We start from the raw sequence: 19640 nt of genomic DNA, 5'->3' as shown, positions 1-19640 counted from the left end.
TTCCTCCCTTGCTTTATTCACCTTTCCCTGAACTAAGCCTCTGGGAAGGTTTCCAGGAATGTGCATGTGCTTTTGTCCTCTGACTATAGGGGAGTGTCATTTGAAAACATTTTTTCGTGAAACCAGGCAAGACCTTCCAACGTGAGTGGTCAGTTGAGGTATGTCCTTTTTGGTCCTTTTGTGGCTCATTAAACACTGACAAATAAAAATTTGGACAGGAGCTAGCTTTGCCTTTAATGGAATAAAGTTTTCAGAAATGTAGGCGGGTCTCTCTCTTTCACCGCTAAGTGGACTTTTATGTGACTTGTAGGCATTGGTGTCAATGGGTGCTTCAGTAAAGGGGCAATGGACAACTTGGCACAAAGGGAATGACCTTCCCATTGACCAAACTCACAGCAAGCAACCCAGGTAATAACGGGAGGTTGACTGCTGGTGTTTTCCTTCTCTCCTAGGATGCTGCCTCCCTTGGTTCCCAGAAGGGTGGGATCACCAAGCATGGCTGGCTGTACAAAGGCAACATGAACAGTGCCATCAGCGTGACCATGAGGGTGAGGACGCACATCACTTTGCCCTCCCCTCTCACAAGCCCTTTCTGCCATAGAGCTCGAGAACAATGCTCAAGATGAATGCGCATGCTGTTCTTCCCCACAAAAGGGACATTGTCTGATTCCTAGGATGCTCCCCTGGTGATAGCACCCCCATTGGCACAGCCTCATCCACCCACTTTCCCTCACTGTCTTCTGACCACCAGCATAAGGAGACCATCCCTGGGCTGGTGTGAAGGTGCAGACACTGACATAGGCTTTCTTCTCTGTAATAACTGAAAAGTGCTCTTTGGTACCTCACAGAATGTCACCAAGGGGCTATCTGTCATGCCAATCCTGAGCACTTCTGTGGAGGTGTACTGCAGCAAAGTCAAGTAAAGCAAAAATTGAGGACGAGAAAAGAAAATAGTTGCATAGAAGAGAAGGTTGCAGACAGAGAAGTCAAACCAATAGAAGAAGCTATTCAGGAGAAAAGTGGGACCAGAGGAACATCAGGATTAATAACAAAGGGAAGAGAAACAAGGGAGTCAGGGAGATAAAAATTAAGGAGGAAATGTGACTGTCATTACCCTAAGGCTGGAAAATCATTCAGCGTCATGAGGCAAAAAATAGTTCCCATTCTGTGAGCAAGAAACCCTGGGGATTTTAGAGAAAGTTTCTGTCCTTCTGTGCTGCATCCCAAATTGGAAGTCCCTGCACTGCTTTTGGGTAGTTATGTAAAATCTCTGATTCCGTGGGTGAGAAAAATGACCCATGGATATTAGGGGAACCACCTCCTCAGAACTGAGATGCAGTGAGCTTCTTAGATGGGATGGGGAGTCTTGACCCCACAGTGACCTGGAGCATCAGCTAGAGTGAGAACGGAAACAGGTTTTATGTATGTATGTAGTCATAAGTGGGTTATTGATAGAGATTGTGACCCTCTTCATTTTGAAAGAATAGCTGTGTGTATATTTTTCTCTCAGTCATTTAAGAGACGATTTTTCCACCTGATTCAACTTGGCGATGGATCCTATAATTTGAATTTTTATAAAGATGAAAAGATCTCCAAAGAACCAAAAGGATCAATATTTCTGGATTCCTGTATGGGTGTCGTTCAGGTAAATATGAAAAGAGTTTTACCATTATGTTTTCTTATCTGCAGTAGTGCTTATGTGTAAATTAGCAGATTTAAGCAAACACTTCCAAAAATGGCAATATGCATGGTAGAAATATAACATATAACTTTAAATGAGGCAAGCCTTGTTTTTCATCATTGTAGAAGATGGAAGGGATAATGTAGAGGCAGAATTATGCTGTGGCAGGCAGGAGCACTCTGGCTCGGCCACTTTATAGCTGCGTGACCTTTAACAGGCTACTTAATTCAGATAATGAGAATGTTTCTTTAATACGGCAAATGAGTACATTGGATGAATCAGTGCAGGAAAATATTTAAAACACTTCATAGTATCTCAGTGGTGATTTTTATCGCTAGCATTGTAGTACCAGTGGCGGTGTAGATCAGTAAAGAGATTAGGTTTCAGCGCAGATTGAGTTCAAATCCCTGCTCCTCCACTTACCAACTGTGTAACCTTGGAGATGTTATTTAACCTCTCTGTACCTCAGTTTCTTCATTTGTTAAATAAGGATAATGGCAGTACCAAATATGGTTACTGAGAGGGTTCATTCATTACACATGTAAAAAGCTTAGAACAGTGCCAACAAATGGTAAGCATTTGGTCAGTATTAGATAGTTTTGTTATCATAGGGCTGTTGTACTTTTATATCATAGGGCTTATGTACTTATCCTTTAAAATTATTGTTAATTAAAGATAACACATGAATGTATTTTTCTTGTAAAAAATCAGACAATACAGATAAAGTGAAAGTCCTTCTGGACTCCTCCCCTCCTTCAGTGTCTCTTTTCTGAGGGGAGCTACTACCAGTTTTGCATGCATCCTTCTGTAGCTTTTTAGCATTGTCTTTGGAAGAGAGTTGTCAATTTCCCTGTCCATCATCTGTCCATCCATCCATCCATCCATCCATCTGTCCACCCCTCCATTCATCCAGCCTTGCCACTTTCAAGGAAGATTTAAGGCAGCAGCTTATAAGCATACACAGGACATGGGATAGCATAAATTTAAAGTGGGGGTGAAAGCAGAAAGATGAACAGGGGATTGGGATAAGGGTGAGAGAAAATAGAGTTAAGGAGAAAGCGTATGTTTTGAAGATCTAACACCTGCTGTGGGTGGGCCACCACCTGGGCTCTATGCTTTCTCACTTGGAGACCTGTTTAGTCACGCAATTCACAGTGCACATGAGATAAAGGCAATCCAATTAGTCAGAAGCTGCCCAAGCAATCTCAGAATGAAGATCATTCAGGCATTTTTCTCAGGGTTCCCCTCACACAGAAGGCTCTGTGGTTGATGAACAATCTTCCTAACAACCCCTCACAAAAGATTCAGTCACCATTATCAAAGAATTCTCCCTTCAGATAACTCCATGATGGCTGATCACATCAGCCTGTAGCTCGATTCTGTAAGGAGACTGTTTGGTGGGGCCAGTGTGACACAGCTCTCTGGTTTGACTAAAGGTATACTTGTTACATATTTACATGTTTACCTAGAATTAAAGTGCATTTTCTTCCAAGGAATACATTTGTCTGATTGAAACAGCCCAGCCCTGCAGTGGCTCACGCCTGTAATCTCAACGCTTTGGGAGGCAGAGGCGGATGGTCAGGAGTTCAAGACCAGCCTGACCAACATGGTGAAACCCCGTCTCTACTAAAAATACAAAAATTAGCCAGGCGTGGTGGTGGGTGCGTGTAATCCCAGCTACTTGGGAAGCTGAGGCAGGAGAATCACTTGAACCTGGGAGGCGGAGGTTGCAGTGAGCTGAGATTGCGCCATTGCACTCTAGCCTGGGTGACAGAGCGAGACTCCATCTCAAAAAAAAAAAGAGAAACAGCCCAGCAGTGCTGAAGGGCAGTGCTTCACCCCTGCATCACCTTACCCACTCACATCCTATTCCCTTGAAATAGTAGTGGTGCTAGATCACAAGTGTTCACTGCTGTTTCTTCATTCATCAGTTTTGGACGTCATTGCATGATTTCCTGTGCTGGTAGATCGGATTTTAGCTCCTGGCACCCTCCTTTGGCCTCTAGTCTGGATGAATTGCTTTCCTGCCCCACACACCTGCCATGTAGACATTCGGCCTGTCTTCCTTCCTGTGTTGGGTTTCCTGTTTCTGGGACCTTATGCCTTCCTCTTTCTTGTTCTACTTTCTTGTTTTGGGGGAGCACATCTTCTGCAGCTTTCTGAGGAATTGTGTGTGAGATGTTAATTTTTTGAGAATTAGGGTATCTGTTCATATCTTAATTTTTGCATTCATGCTTGACTCATAGTTTGGCTAGTTATAAAATTCAAAGTGAAATCATTTTACCTTGGAATTTCAAGGGCATCCCATTGCCATCTAGTTTCCACTGTCGTTTGGAAGGTTCTGATGTTATTCGAAATCCCTGTTCTTTGTGGTCTTCTCTTTAGTGTTCTAAAATTTTGGTTGTTGTGTCTTGATTTTTATTTTATGCTTTGGTAAGCTTTTTTGTTAAGTTATAACATATAAATAGAAAATAAGGTATAACATATAAATAGAAAATATATGCCTAATGCATGTGTGACTCGGTGGATCTTTCTGGAGCTCGGCTCTTTCTTATCTTTGTGCTGTTTTATTTCCCGTCATTCTGGAGACTCTGCCCTGCATATTCTGGCCACCTTGGTCTTCCCCAGGTCTCGTCAGTGTCTTCTACTCAGCAAGATGGCAGGGCTCTTTTTGGATTCCCCTTCCTGTGCTGCAATTCAGATACTGCCTCCAGGCAGAAAGCTGAGGCAATTTGGGGCTCACTTCAGTCTTTCCCTTCTACAGAGAAAGGGCTGCACTGCCTTTTGTCCCCTATCTGAAAACAGTTATTTCATGTATTTTGTCCACTTTTCTAGCAATGATGGTGGGAGGCTAAGTCCAGATCCTGTTTCTTCCTTATGGTCAGCAGTGGAAGGGAGGGGTCCAGAATCAGATGTCTGCAGGGACCAAGGAGGTCAATTAAGTGACAGAGAGGCCTGGTTGCAAAGCAATAGGGAATGCCGGGGTGACCTGGAGCCCAGTGCCCCATTTAAAGGGGGCATCTCCTGCCCACCTGCAGCTGGTGCCGCCAGGTGGAACCCCCGGCTCAAAGGTGCCAGATCATCTGGTTTCTCAAAAAGCAAGAAATACAGAATTTGAGTTAAACTTTGGTAACTTTAGTTATTGGTAACTAACTTTAAAAACCACTTTGAAAAATAAATAAAAAACACCAACAGGTAATTTGAGAGGATACAAAAAGCAAACAAACAAAATACCACTGTGCAGTACCCCCGCCCTGCCGAAAAAAAAAAAAAGAAAAAAAAAGGTAAAATACATGAAAGTATATTTGGGCCCACGTTCAAGACTGTAGCACCACTTAATGCTCACTGAAAATTGTTTTCAGTCAACAGCTAATGTGGATGTCTCTTAGCTGGCAATTCAGCCTTCTCTGAAGGCCACCACTATGAACAATCTAATTATATCAGAGTATGTTCATTGACAATGTCTGTGAAGTAAGGAGTGCCAGAGTGATTTATCAGTGACAGTGAATTGACTTCTTGGGTGGGATTCCCAAGTAGGAGTTTTATTTGTATTCTTTAGTCAAAAGACCTTTAAGTTACTTTTTAGCTGAATTTTCTGGCACTGACTTTAAAAAGAAGGTTAAAGCAAAACTAAATGTATTTGGCAACCTCATTTTTTAAAGTAGGAAGTAATTATTTTTGTTTTATAAGAGAGTTTTGCTGCCTGTTTCTGGCCCAGGGACAGATGTTTATAAGTACAACTGCCCTGAGCTATCAATTAGTCTCCGGGGTGCATTTCAAAATCTAAGGTTCTGACTTCAATGGAAGTCTCTTCCTTCAAATTGTCTTTGCAGATGCAGCTGATGGTGTTTTCATTTAATAAAGTGTATCCAAGGCTTCAAAAGAGTAAAATAATTTGTTTTTATCTGTGTCTGTTTGTAAACTAAGCATCAAAAGTTGTGATTTAAGTGTTTTTAAAAATTATTACTTATGGATATTATAAAAAAATTAGTTGACTGGTGCTGTGAATTAAAAAAAGTGCCTAAACTAAAAAATTTTGAAGCATTTTAGAACCCTTGAAATTTATTATACTTATTTTGCAGATGAGAAAACTGAGGCTCAGAAACAGAAATTTAGAATTGAGGCCTAATGTTTTTTTCTCCACTTTTAACTTTCTCTTTTCATGATTGTGAGTATGCAGGGAAAGGAGGAGAGAAAATTCATTTTGTTTCAAGCCTTTGACTTCTTCCCTGGTTCTTGCCTTGAAGTTTAAGTGGAATCCAAAGTGGCAATTACTGAGCCCACAGCAGACAGTCTGTGCACAAGAGTGTGTGGCTTTGCCAAGGGGAGCACTTGACTTTGCATTTCTAAGAACTGTGCTGCAGAATCACAGAGACTTTTGGGAGGGTTGCCCTGTCCCTGAGACCTCCACCAAGGAACTCTTAGAGAGAGTGTGGATAACCCAGTAGGATTTTAGTGGCTATGCGGGGGGCTGTCCTGCTGGCTCAGGTTAGTGGGAGTGTTTGATTTCATATCGCTCAGCCTGTCCTTACAGGGGATCTTGTGCCATGATCCTCAGAGCTGAACCTCTGTCTACTGCGGCCAACCTGGGGAGATTTTGCTCCCTGGAGGACATCTTGGAATGTCTGAAGACTGGCATCTATTGGCTTAAGGCCATAAATTTCGCTAAACATTGTACAATGCATGGACCAGCCACTCACAACAAAGAATTGGCTGCCCAAGTGTCAGTAGTACCGAGATTGAGAAATCCTGGCCTAGTGCATGTTCATCTTCCGTCTGTTACTGCACATGGACTACTGTTCTTGTTCTGTGAGCCAGTCACCCTCTTGCAGGCATGAAAACTGGAGGCATGAGGCAAGGCCACGGACAGGGAGTCCAAATACCTTTTGGGATTCATAAAGGATGGGAAAGTTCCAGATAAGTAAGCCAAACATAGTAATAGATAATGGTTGGCTTTTAAAAATGTAATACCATACACTACTTCATTAAAAAAATAGGAGCTGAAGAAATATGAAAATTTTACATGAAATTTCATTTATTCAACAAATATTTTTCAAATACCCACTATGTGCAAGTCACTGTAGAGTCCATAGAGACTAAGGATGTGTAGCACTGACAAAAATGGGAGCACTGAGGAGGTTTCATTCCACTGCAGGGACACACAGTGAATCAGATGAGTATGTAAAGCAGGTAATGAGTCAGAAGGAAAAATAAAGCTTGCAGAAAGTGAAGCAGGGAAGGTGGACGGTAATGGGATTTCATGGGGGGGGGCTTTCATGAGGAGGGGGCAAGCTATTTAAAATAGCTTGGTTCTAAATGCCAATGAGATATCACTCACCAACAAGAGAGAGTAATTATTTTAAAGCAGTTCTAATTCTTTTAAAGTATGTCTGTTTATCCTTTTTTCATTTCAGAACAACAAAGTCAGGCGTTTTGCTTTTGAGCTCAAGATGCAGGACAAAAGTAGTTATCTCTTGGCAGCAGACAGTGAAGTGGAAATGGAAGAATGGATCACAATTCTAAATAAGATCCTCCAGCTCAACTTTGAAGCTGCAATGCAAGAAAAGCGAAATGGCGACTCTCACGAAGGTAGATAGGCTTGGCTTCCCCCAGGCACATACACACTCTGTGGGTGTCTTTATTTTTGCCAGGTGGGTATAAGAAGGAGACCTGTGTTACACAAGTACATGAGAGGTGGGACGGATAGGAGCTCTTTACAAATATCCTGTCAGCAAAGGTTTTGTCACATTATAACTTACTTCCCTGACATTTCGTATATGGAAATCATGTAATGGGAAGAACCAAAGCTTTGGAGGCAGAAAGGGAGACCTGGGTTTGAGTGCCATAAATACTGTATTTCAGCTGTGTAGCCCTGGGTAAACAACTTATGTTTTCTGAGCCTCAGTTGACTCACCTATAAAATGGGAATAAACATGAAAATTGCTGGGAAGATGGGAAGTGTAAATAAGAAAATGAATCTCAAGTATCTGGCATAGAATTTTACTGTATTATAAAATATTAGTAATAATTAGAATGCATGGGAGCCTCAGATTAAATTGGTGAGAAAAATCTGGCTATGTTCTTGACAATTCATGTTTTACTTCAACCCTTAGGTGATTCCCAACCCTGGCTTCCCCTTAGAAGTACCTGGGAGCTTTTTAAAAATACCATTTACCTGGTCCCACAAAAGATTCTGATTTAGTTGGTCTGGGGTGGAGCCTGGGCAGGTCTGACTTTTAGGGGGTCTCATGGACGTGTCCATGTGGGCTGTTGTTCATAGCTAGTGTCAGTTCTAATTGGACGGTGTCCATGCTATACCAGCTGCTCAGTGTTTTGACTTTCATCACTGAGCCTGTGGATCAGTATTTTTTCAAAGCACCCCAAGTGTTTCCCAGGAGCATCCAGAGTGGGGAACCACTGTGTTCATTTGAAGGCACCTAAGAGAAACGGCCTTCCTCCTCCTGTTTCAAATGAAATGCTATGAATTACAAGTGATTCCGATAATCTGTTTTGCCATTTTAGATGATGAACAAAGCAAATTGGAAGGTTCTGGTTCCGGTTTAGATAGCTACCTGCCGGAACTTGCCAAGGTAACATCGTCTTATATCTTCTGCTCTTCGTTGAATGCTGTTGAAGTATGTCTCATTTCACTGGTTTGTCCAGAATGGAATCTGTTGAAATCATAAAAATTACATTGTGATTACCTCTCTCTTTTTCTGACCTGATTACGAGGTGACGTGTACTCATGCAGTATGATTTCAGGTCTGTCTTCTAAAAAGTACCCTACAAAGCATTCTCCTTTTATTATTATTTTAAGTGTTTTTTTCCCTGATAATGCTTAACACTGCATCACAGGTACTGAAGAAATAACTGAAATATGCAGGCAGATGTTCTCATAATAGCATCGTACTTTCTATGTTGATACATGTGCTCTCCCTTACTCAGGGTAATAGACACGGTTCCAAAGAGGAAGGACCTGGTAATCTTGCCACGAAACCCGGGGGTTGCCTGAGTTACAGAAATTGTTTCGGGTCACTCTTACTGGAAAAAAAATAAGCTATTCCTGTGTCTTACAATTTTGAGAAATTTAAAAGTTACTGAAAAGCACAAAGAAAAGCAAATCAACCATACTGCTACTTCCCAGATTAAATATCTATTATGATGTTGCCTTTTTAGCTTCCATATTCTTAAAAGATATAAAACATCGGTTATAGTTGAAGTTCTTTTTAAACACTGTCCTTATTCCCATTCTCTTCTTCTCCCACAACCCCAATCAGAAACAAGCACTATTAAAAGTTTTACTTTCATTTTTATATCTTTACAAATAAATCTATCATAATGATATATACAGTATGATTTAGTATGTTTAAAAATGTTTTATAAATGCTAACATACCATATGTATTCTGCACTTTAAAAAATTTTTAAATTTACCCCTTTTATTTGTACTATATAGACTTTTTATTTTAGCTGTTCTATTATTTTCATTTTTTTCTATTATAAACAAAGCTACAATGACTGTCCTTGTACTTGTGTCCTTGTGTGTATCTGAATGATTCTTTCTTAAATGAGAGAAATATCTTTGTCTTCTCTAGCCCTTTGCACTCTTACTCTGTTACTGCCCTTCTATTCTTTTTTGATACTAGAGTGAAATGGCGACCCTCCACACCCACATCTTAAACACTATAATAGAAACATGGTTTATCTATATAGGATTATAAATAGACCAGCATTCAGCATTGACCTTTATTTTAAGACAACATGGCTGTTCTCAAGTGTAAAATCTCCCTCCCTGGCTAGGGCTTTAGAGCATTGTTTTTCTTTAGGACTTGACTGCTACCACAGTATCTTTTTAGCACCTGCCTATTAAAGCTAATTTTAGTGCCACCATTGTAAACCACCTCCTAGTCTGGGAAGAGTTTTGGCTTGTGTGTTTGTGTTATGAATGTCTGTGTATCATATTTTGCATTGAGATTTGCTTTTTTGTTTCTGGATGTTTGGGGGTTCATAATTTCTCAAAACAAAATATTTGTGCCCATTTGGGTTTTAGTTTGTTGCAGCAGGTAATATATGTGATGCCATCTAGAATTCAGAAAGTAACCTTCTGCACTTACTGGGTGAACGGAATGGATACCTAGGAGAAGATTCATGTTATTTGAGCCTAATGTTGATTAATTAAAAATCTATGCTTTTTCCTATGAGGATATACAGGAACGGTCCCCTCCTTCTCTTACTACCCAGCCAATATAATTCAGTATTGTTTGATCCCAAGACCTAGGGAGATTTTTTAAGATATACATATATTTAATATAAATGTATACATTTATGTATATATACTTTTTTATAAGTATAATTGTATATTTTGTCATTTAAAATATTTGGAACTATTTTTAAACTATGGGTTACAAGTTAGGTTAAGCCATTTTAGTTGGTGAAATCAGTTTGATTTCAACCCCTGCTTCTTTTTGTTTTGTTTCTATTTAGTTTTTTATTCTTTTTATTGAGGTATAATTTGCAATAGCAGAATGCTCAAACATGAATTGTAGAGCTCACTGGAGTTCGCATTTGTACACTGATATAAGCAGCCCTCAGGCTAGCTTGTACCTGAGACCCTCTTTATTTTGACCTCCATCACCGTAGATTAGTTTTGACTTTTCTAGACCTTCCTGTGAATGGACTTATACATGTACTCTTTGTGTCAGGCTTATTTAGCTAAACATGTGATTCACTTTAAGAAGTTTTTTTTAGGTCGGGCATAGTGGCTCATGCCTGTAATCCCAGCACTTTGGGAGGCTGAGGTGAGCGGATCTTTTGAGGTTAGGAGTTCAAGACCAGCCTTGCCAACATGGTATAAAACCCTGTCTCTACTAGAAATACAAAAATTAGCTAGGCGTGGTGGCAGGTGCCTGTAATCCCAGCTACTTGGGAGGCTGAGGCAGGAGAATCATTTGAACCTGGAAGGCAGAGATTGCAGTGAGCTGAGATCATGCCACTGCACTCTAGCCTGGGTGACAGAGCAAGACTGTGTCTCAAAAAAAAAAAAAGTGTTTTTTTAATGTAATAGAATTGAATGGAGAATATGAAAGTACACTGCCCTTAATAATGACATTATTTTTTATATAAAATACTGTCATTATTATTTTGGTGGCACCTGCCACCATGCCTAGCTAATTTTTGTATTTCTAGTAGAGACAGGGTTTTATACCATGTTGGCGAGGCTGGTCTTGAACTCCTAACCTCAAAAGATCCACCCACCTCAGCCTCCCAAAGTGCTGAGATTACAGGCATGAGCCACTACGCCCGACCTGAAAAAAAACTTTTTAAAGTGAATTACATAATTTTTTACATAAAATAATGTCATTATTAAGGGCAATGTACTATTTATACATATAGTGTGTATGTGTGTCTTGCATAGTGATATAAAAGATATTTGTTTTTCTTAGTGTGCTATTATGTATATTTATTTACTTTCATTGGTATATAATGTACCTATTTTGGGAGTTCATGTGATACTTTGATATCTGTATACAATGTGTGATGATCAAATCAGGATAATTGGGATAGCCATCACCTCAAACATTTATCTTTGTGTTGGGAATTTGAAACATTTCTTACCAGGAGTCATGGTCAAAACCTGAAAAATGAATCCTTGTTAGAGGCTTTTACTCTTTCCCCCTGGCTTTCAGGTGTTTTACAAATACTTTTATTTAGGAAGGTAGAAAGGTGGAAAGTAATTTTTTGAAGGGGAAAAGAATGAAGAAAATGGAGATGAGTTATTCACTCAGCACATGGGTATCTGTGGGCTTTGCCTTTTAAAGCCCAGCTTGGTGTCAGTGTGAGCAGCCCAGGCAGTAAGGGGAGACCTGTGTTCCCCATCCCCAGCCTTGAGCAAAAATGCAGTTTTGGCTGTTTATCATCCCCCTTCAGGGTGTCTGAACTATTTGCACCGGTTGAGAAGGCAAAGAAGTTGACCTGATAACTGTTGGTCATCCCATTAGGAAGGATGGATTCCATGGTTACAGAATCAGAGACTGAAGTATGCAGAGGGAGGGGTGGGGAGAGAGAACTGTGCAAGGAGTTTACCCAGGGTATGAAGAGGTAAAGAGGTCAGTATCAGGGAAGGAAGGTGCAAGAAAGGGTCAGGCTGGGAGGCTGGGCCACAGTTCAGTAAGATTACAAAGAAGGGCCTAGAACAATGAGGGCAGGCAGAAGGTGGCTGAAGGTGTAATTTCATGGCAGGTTCCTTTTCTAATCAGCTCCTCTAACCTCCTTCATCCTGTTGCCCCGGCTTTTGTTTTCCACTGTGACTAAGACATAGCCAAACAGGATATGACCGACAGGAAGTTGTTTCAGTGCAAAAATAACTGATGTCTCATTCTGGAATATTATGGAAGGGCTCATTACTTACAGTGTGAGTGATGTAAACCCAGGTTTTCAGAATATTTTGTATAATCTTGGAGCTTATGTTTGTACATTTAGTACTGAACATCTGTATTGTTTTCTTATTAGAGAACACACTGTATTTACCCTAAAACTGGTTCTTTTCCTCCTATTGTCTATTATGGAACCAAACAATTTTTATTGTAAATGTAACAGTGTGTAGCATCAGTCTTATAAATATTTTAGTTTGATACACAAACCGTAGTTCAAGTTAGTTAATTGATTTCTTCCCTAGAAAGTCAAGGAGTAACATAATCAGGTTATAAACTTCATTACTAGTTATTTAATAATTTATTTCTCTGGTTACATTTATATCTTAGGTGACATCAGAACATATATGTCACCTCCTTAAAGATAGTGTGAAGAAAACCCACCTTATGTTTTCTTCCACAGCTTTTCTGTTTGTGAGCTTTTATTTTTGTACTCAAAGAATAGCATCCAACTTTTACTTTGGTTTCCCCATGTGGTTCTGAAAGAGAAGTAGAATTTCTTCTAAATCCGGAATTGCTCACATCCTTTTACCTTTTAACTTTGTTTTAAGCAAATGAACTTATTGTTCCAGGTAAATCTTCCACAGTTGCATGCAGGGGAAAGTATGATGTCTCAGACTTTATAGTCTCATGGAGATGGAGTGAGGATCAAGGGCCATGCTCAGCAGAACTTGTCAGGACCCAGCAGTTTCACGGACACCTTTTCTTAATTTTTAAACCAAGTCTATAATAAGTGCTTTCTTCCCTAGATTCCAATCCAGAAAACAATATCATTGCACTATTATACAAAGGAGCTGGCTAGGCTTGTGTCTGTGGGGTCAGCTGGTGTTGCATTTCTGGGCCTCCTTTGTGAAGAGGATGAACTGATGGTCCTGAGAAGTTAGGTGTCTTGGAAGTAGTGGAAATAAATCATGATAACTCTTTAAATTAAAGATTATATATTTTGGCCTCAAAACATTTTGCAAAGTCCTCCTATTCCAACCCAATCTGTTTAAATGACCCAACATTCAACACATTGTTTCTGATAATTCATCCTCAGAATAAGATGCTGTTGGCCATAATCTTTGTCTCTAGATTGTTTTATCTACTCGCAAATAAATTTAAGACACAGAGTATGCCTAAAGCCTACAGCAGACTTTCTGGAAACTCTTGAATGTTTGGTCCATAACTACTTCTTAAGACAAAGAAGAAAACCTTGTCAGGGTGTGTCATTAGTGCTTGAATGTAGGGTTTACAGGATGGGGTGGGGTGGGGGAATCGCCCTTGGTTTAGATGAATCATTCTTTTCCTTGTCTTCTCAGCAAACACCAGTTTCTACAGAGAACAGCTCTGCCATTGTGCATTTTCTGTCTCCATTTTCCTCTCATTCTCCTCTCCACGAAACCCAGAGTAGTCAGTGGGCTTTGGGCAGGAAAGTGGCAACAGGGTGTCTGGGGAAAAGCCAGTTGGCTCTTCTTACCATCACAATATAGACTGACCACAGGTTATTTTAAGAGCAGAGCTGGTTTCCATCACTCTGAGAAGTGCTCAACTACAGACTTTGGGATGATATTTGTTATAGCTGTATTTTCTCCACTCTTAGATTGTGAAAGTACATATTACAAGTATTTATTTTATTATCTTTACTAAAATTTTAATTAAAAAGAAGCGTGCTTGCCGCAATAAGTAAAAATACCCAAAGTTGTTTAAAGAAAAGTTCACCTTTTCCCTTCATCCTCCATTCCCACATTCCTGAGAACACTGAAGTTAATAACCGGTTGCAATTCCCCTTTCACCAAACTGATTGCTCATAGAAATATAGATAAACATATGTAAGGTTTTTAAGTTTTTTTAATAAAAATATGTTCATGATATATACATTATTCTGAAATTTTCTGTATCACTTAAAAATATTTCATAGATGTCCCTCTGGGCCAGTGGAAGATCTGGTTCCCCCTTACATACATATCAGCAAGCTGCATGATATTTCAACTATTGCTACTGCACAGTTTATTCAGCCATCTCCCTATTAATGAACATTTAAGGTTTTTTTTTCAGTTTTTAGCCTCTACAAACAGTACACAATAAACAACATGACATTAAATACTTGTGCTCTTATTTCAGTAGGAGAAATTCCCCAATGTGGAATTTTTAAGTCAAAGTTTATTGTGTTTTTAATGCTTTAAACATTGCCAGGTTACCGTCCCAAAAGGCTATAACAATTCACATTTCTGTTTCTCTGCATCTTCACCAGACGAGTGTAAAATGGTATTTTACTGTGCTTTCATTTATATTTTGCTGGTTATTAGTGATATTTTTCATATTTTCATATATTTATTTGCCATTTGTGTTTTTTCTTCCTGACTTGCTTGTTCACATTGTTTACCTTGTTTTCTTCTGTCTTGTGTAGTGTAATAGTTTAGACTCTGAAGCCAGGCAACCTGAGTTAGAAGCCAGGCCTCTATTTCATGATGTAGGTCTTTGGGCAAAGTACCTAACATTCATGCCTTAGTGTTTTCTCTTTTAATGAGCAGGGATAATAATAGTACCTGCCTCCTAAGGTTGTATAAAATTAAAATGGGCACTTAGGGTAATATCTAGCAGGTAGATATTGGCTATTATCAATAGTAGCTCTTATCGTTACTATTCTTCCAGATACTGTTTCCTGACTCTGGGGCAAAGTCCTGCTACCCCTGAACCACATTTTTCTACCTCTTAGATTTTACTTGGTAATTCCATCAGCCACTGTTGGGCATCCTCTGTGTTTAATGCATCATCTTAGACCTTAGGAGGGATGGGAGGAACTTTAAGAAGCCGAATTTGCTTTTTATTTATCTTGTAGCAGAGCAATAGATGTATATTAGGTAGATTACAAGCTTTTAGGTTATTTTTGCATCTAAAGCTGTCCCTTCTTTTCCAATAAATGATGTCTGTGGTAAAGAATATATCTGTTGGGTGTTAGTGACAAAATCAGAATGCTTTGTGTCTATTTTGGCTAGTAGTTAATTGTTTTTCTTTTATTGTGTCTGCATTCCTATTTGTTCTTTAATTATACCGAGCTCATTAGCAGTTATTCTTGCTTTATTCATTTCTTATCTCCTAGCATAGTCAGCTCAAGACAACAAGCATCTTTCAGAAAGCCACTAGGAATTGCATCTACATTAAGAACCCACTCCTCTGCTCTAGCGTCTGAGAACATAACACAGTATTTGCCTTTGTTGAAGGGCTCAAGCGGACGATTCAGAAGTAGAATAGATAACTGTTGGTGGTGGCTTGCAGCACCTAGTACTGATGGTTTTGTTAGGAAACACCACAGGCAGTATACAATGTAAAGCAAGTTCTTTGGGTTCAGTTAAATAGATTCCACTTGCACGTGTTCTCACTCTTTTGGTGTGAAAAATTAGGAAAGGTGATAGGCAGGATAGAATAAAATGAAGTGGTCCCATCTCCCATATGGAGAGCGCCTGCCTCCACCACAGACACATGTTTTGCCCTGGAAGCATAAACAGAAGATTGCAGGAACGCCCCTTCACCTCCATAGCCTTCAGGCTCCCATCGATAGCATCAAGATAAACTTGGTGTGGCAACAGACTTGAGCCATCATCTTGTTTAACATTTTTACCTGGAAGTGAAAATGGAATCCAGAGAGGCTAAGTAGCTTGCACAGCTACTTAATTGAACTAGAACCAGAACCCAGTTTCTTAGTATTCTGGTGCCCATTTTATATAAACATAGACAGCTGATCATGGTAGTTTGGATCATTGCTAAAGACCTATTATATACAACAATCGTATGGCTAAGAAGATTAAGATGCTTATTTTCTCGTTATCCATGATTAGAAATGTAATAAGAGACTTTGTTCTGTCACCAACAGAAGAGACAAGACGCCTTTTCTGCTGTGGTTGTGAGTGCCCCATCAAGTGCTGAGATGTGACTCATGTCTTTGGGGAAAGTAGCAGATGAGAGAGTACATTCTATTCCGACTCCATAGACTTAACTGTGGAGACTGAGAGTAGTGGAGAGCTCAGACTGACAAGAAGAACAGAATATAGACTTAGAGGCACCAGGCATGAAAAATCATAAAGATGGAGATGACTTCTATCTTGTGAATGTCTGAAAAGCCTCTCTCTCTTTCTGTTCCCAAATCCTTCATCTCCAGCCCTCATCTCTGCCACCATCTGTCGGTTTTCTTCCGTGGCCTCTCTTCTGTCCACCTCTTCAATGTTGGGCCCCCAGGATTTTGTCTTCAGACTCACTTTCACCCTCTCCCTCAGGACATCTCATCCACTCCCAAGGCTGGAACTCCAGCCTTCCTCTCAGCCTTGCGCTTAAGTTTCATCCCTTTAGCTGTCTATTGGATGTTTCCAGTTGGAAATTCCACAGGCATCTCTACCCAGGCGTCTCTACACAAAGATGATAAAAATATTATCATCTTTTTGGCAGATTTGTTTTTCCTGAGTTTTCTGTCGTGTTCATGGATTCACCATTCAGCAGGCTGCCCAAGCTAGAAATGTGGGATTTGTTAATCGGCCCTGCTGTGAGACTGGGAGGCTGGTGTGATAACCCAAGAAAGACATTGTGGGCCTCTGGGTCTTATCCTTTTTAACCCATTGCCTCAGCCCTGCCCGAGTGATGCTTCTGAAATGTGGAACTCATTTTATTCTCTTACCTAAAAGGTTGCAGGATATTTTAGATTCTGAATGAAATCCCCAATCCTTTTTTTTTTTTTTTAAGTGAAAGCAAGTTTATTAAGAAAGTAAAGAAATAAAGAATGGCTATGCCATTGGCAAAGCAGCCCTGTGGGCTGCTGGTTGCCCATTTTTATGTTTTTTTCTTGATGATATGCTAAACAAGGGGTGGGAAATCCCCAATCCTTGGCATTCAAATCCCAGACTCATTTCTTTTCACTTTTTTTTTTTAATCATGCCCTGCCTTTCAGTTATGATGAGTGACTTGGTCATTGCTCAGGTGTGACTTGTCCCTTTGCACCTGCTGTGCCTTCTCCTAGAATGCGCTTTTCTCCTTTCCTGGCCAAGTGTTCTTGTCCTTCCAAATGGGCCTTCCCTTGGGAGGTGGTTTCTGACGACCACCCCCTAGTCCAAGTCAGCTCCCACTGTACTTTAAACTTTCTCTTGTCTTCCTTATTACCTGTTGATATGCTCTCTCCCCACCTGGTGTTCCTTGGGACTAGGGACTTCCTTCATTCACATTTCACATAACTTGAGGGCCTGGCTCATAAGAGGTGCTTAATGAATATTTATTGAATTAATTAGCATCTTGTCCTTCAAGATCAGCCATCATTTTCTCTATCTCATCATTCAAAATATATTCCTTCCTCTTCCCCTTCTTGCACCCAGTCACAGACTGGACTCTATTAAATCCTGTCTATCATCTGGGCTCATTTCCATCCTCAGTGTCTGTCTGTGCATCCTTTTCATTCAGCCAGGGATGTTCAGCTCGATTCTGCCCCTTCATTCCAAGCCTGTCCCATATTCCATTACTTTATGAAGCCTTTCTTGACACACAGATGCTTAATTATTCTCTTTTGCTTTCTTTGTGTTGACTTTGACTCTGCCACTGGTTGTGAGCTTCAGAAGGGCAGGGATCTCACCTTCACTTCTTTTTCCTCCTAGTGCTTTCTTTGTGTGCTGCACACTCCCTGGCACACACAGCGGCTCTCCAACACGAGGCAGAGCTTTCCAGCAGCCTCAACCTTCAGGACTGGGCAGCTTTTAAATGTATTTGGGCACCTTTGCAAGAAAAGGATTGTGTTAAATGTAATTTTCATGTATCTTGTTATCAGAGTGCAAGAGAAGCAGAAATCAAACTGAAAAGTGAAAGCAGAGTCAAACTTTTTTATTTGGACCCAGATGCCCAGGTAAGAACTATCTAAATGTTTAATATTTAAAACCAAATGTGGGAGAGAAAATCATCGATGGGCTTATTTGTTTATTTGTTTGCTTTGTTTATTTTGGAAAAACAAGCAAAATAACTATAGAAAATTTGGGGAAAAGAGGAAAAATAAAAATGTATAATCTTATCACCATAGCATTACTATTGTGAATATTTGATATTCAATAGATGTTTGAAAATTGGGAGAGATTTATTGAAAGACATTCTCAAGTTCACAAAGAACATCTAATTTACCTGTTAAAATAACCATCAGAAAACAACAGGTATCACTGCAGTTGCCTGGGAGTCAGTGATAATTCCCGACTAGCCCAGGCTCAGGCTCAAATACAAACCTTTTCCATTTAACTCTAACGATAAGTACTTTTCTGTTTCCTCACAAACCTCATAACCATACGTATGTGTGTTTATATGTCTATATTTTTTATTTGCTTTTAAGAAGTTTTTGTTTATCATTGTAAAATATACATAATATAAAATTTACCATTTTAACCATTTTTAAGTGTACGGTTCAGTGGCATTAAATACATTCTCATTGTTGTACAACCATTACCACCATCCATTTCCAGAACTTCTTCATTTTCCCACACGGAAACTTTGTATCAAATGATAACCTTCCTTTCCTTCTTCCCCCATCCCCTAGTAACCTCTGTTCTACTCTGTGAACCTGCCTATTTTAGGAACCTCATAAATGTGGAATCATACAGTATTTGTCCTTTGTTTCTGGCTTCTTAAACTTAACATGTTTTCAAGGTCAATCCATGTTGTAGCATGTGTCAGAATTTCCTTCCTTTCTGTGGCTGAATATTCCATTGTATGTATATACTACATTTTATATATCCTTGTAAATCTGTTGATGGACACTTGGTTGGATACTTGATGGACATTGGTTTTGTTGTTCATGATCATAATTTTCAAGCTCTGTATTTTTTCAGTTCATCCATTGAGTAGGTATACCATCATGTCTTTTTTTTTTTGTCTTTTTTTTTTTTTTTTTTTTGAGGCAGAGTCTTGCTCTGTCGCCCAGGCTGGAGTGCAGTGGTGCAATCTCGGCTCACTGCAAGCTCCGCCTCCTGGGTTCACACCATTCTCCTGCCTCAGCCTCAGCCTCCCGAGTAGCTGGGACCACAGGTGCCCACTACCACACCTGGCTAATTTTTTTGTATTTTTTGTAGAGACGGGGTCTCACTGGGTTAGCCAGGATGGTCTCGATCTCCTGACCTGGTGAGCCGCCAGCCTCGGCCTCCCAAAGTGCTGGAATTACAGGCGTGAGCCACCGTGCCCGGCCCATGTCTTTGACCATTGTTATAAACTATGTGTGTAACTACTATAAACCATAGAAACCGATTATATAATAGCAACACTATTGTGAGTAAATAAGTGTATATAGCTTTTCCATATTTTATTCCGTTTCCTTTGGATGCATTTATGATGTTTTTTTAAAATAAGAGCATAACTTATTTATATGTTTACATTTTCTTTTAAAGAAGCTTGACTTCTCATCAGCTGAGCCAGAAGTGAAGTCATTTGAAGAGAAGTTTGGAAAAAGGATCCTTGTCAAGTGCAATGATTTATCTTTCAATTTGCAATGCTGTGTTGCCGAAAATGAAGAAGGACCCACTACAAATGTAATTTTTCATT

At 39.8% G+C, this 19640-nt stretch overlaps 1 protein-coding gene across 43 annotated transcripts in view; it reads left to right on the top strand.

Annotated features, from left to right (window-relative positions):
- The window catches only part of DOCK9 (dedicator of cytokinesis 9), a 295191-nt gene that overhangs the window by 166021 nt on the left and 109530 nt on the right, over window positions 1–19640 (top strand). For all 43 annotated transcript variants that reach the window (XM_047430231.1, XM_005254035.4, XM_006719937.4 and 40 more), the window contains exons 6-11: window positions 453–548; window positions 1511–1645; window positions 7096–7270; window positions 8204–8271; window positions 17893–17967; window positions 19487–19627. In XM_047430231.1, coding sequence (XP_047286187.1) covers window positions 453–548; window positions 1511–1645; window positions 7096–7270; window positions 8204–8271; window positions 17893–17967; window positions 19487–19627 — 690 coding nt within the window. The remainder of the gene's footprint in view (window positions 1–452; window positions 549–1510; window positions 1646–7095; window positions 7271–8203; window positions 8272–17892; window positions 17968–19486; window positions 19628–19640) is intronic.

Source organism: Homo sapiens, chromosome 13 (genome assembly GCF_000001405.40).
Source record: "Homo sapiens chromosome 13, GRCh38.p14 Primary Assembly".
Lineage (NCBI taxonomy): Eukaryota > Metazoa > Chordata > Mammalia > Primates > Hominidae > Homo > Homo sapiens.
This window is presented reverse-complemented; position numbering and strand designations above follow the sequence as displayed.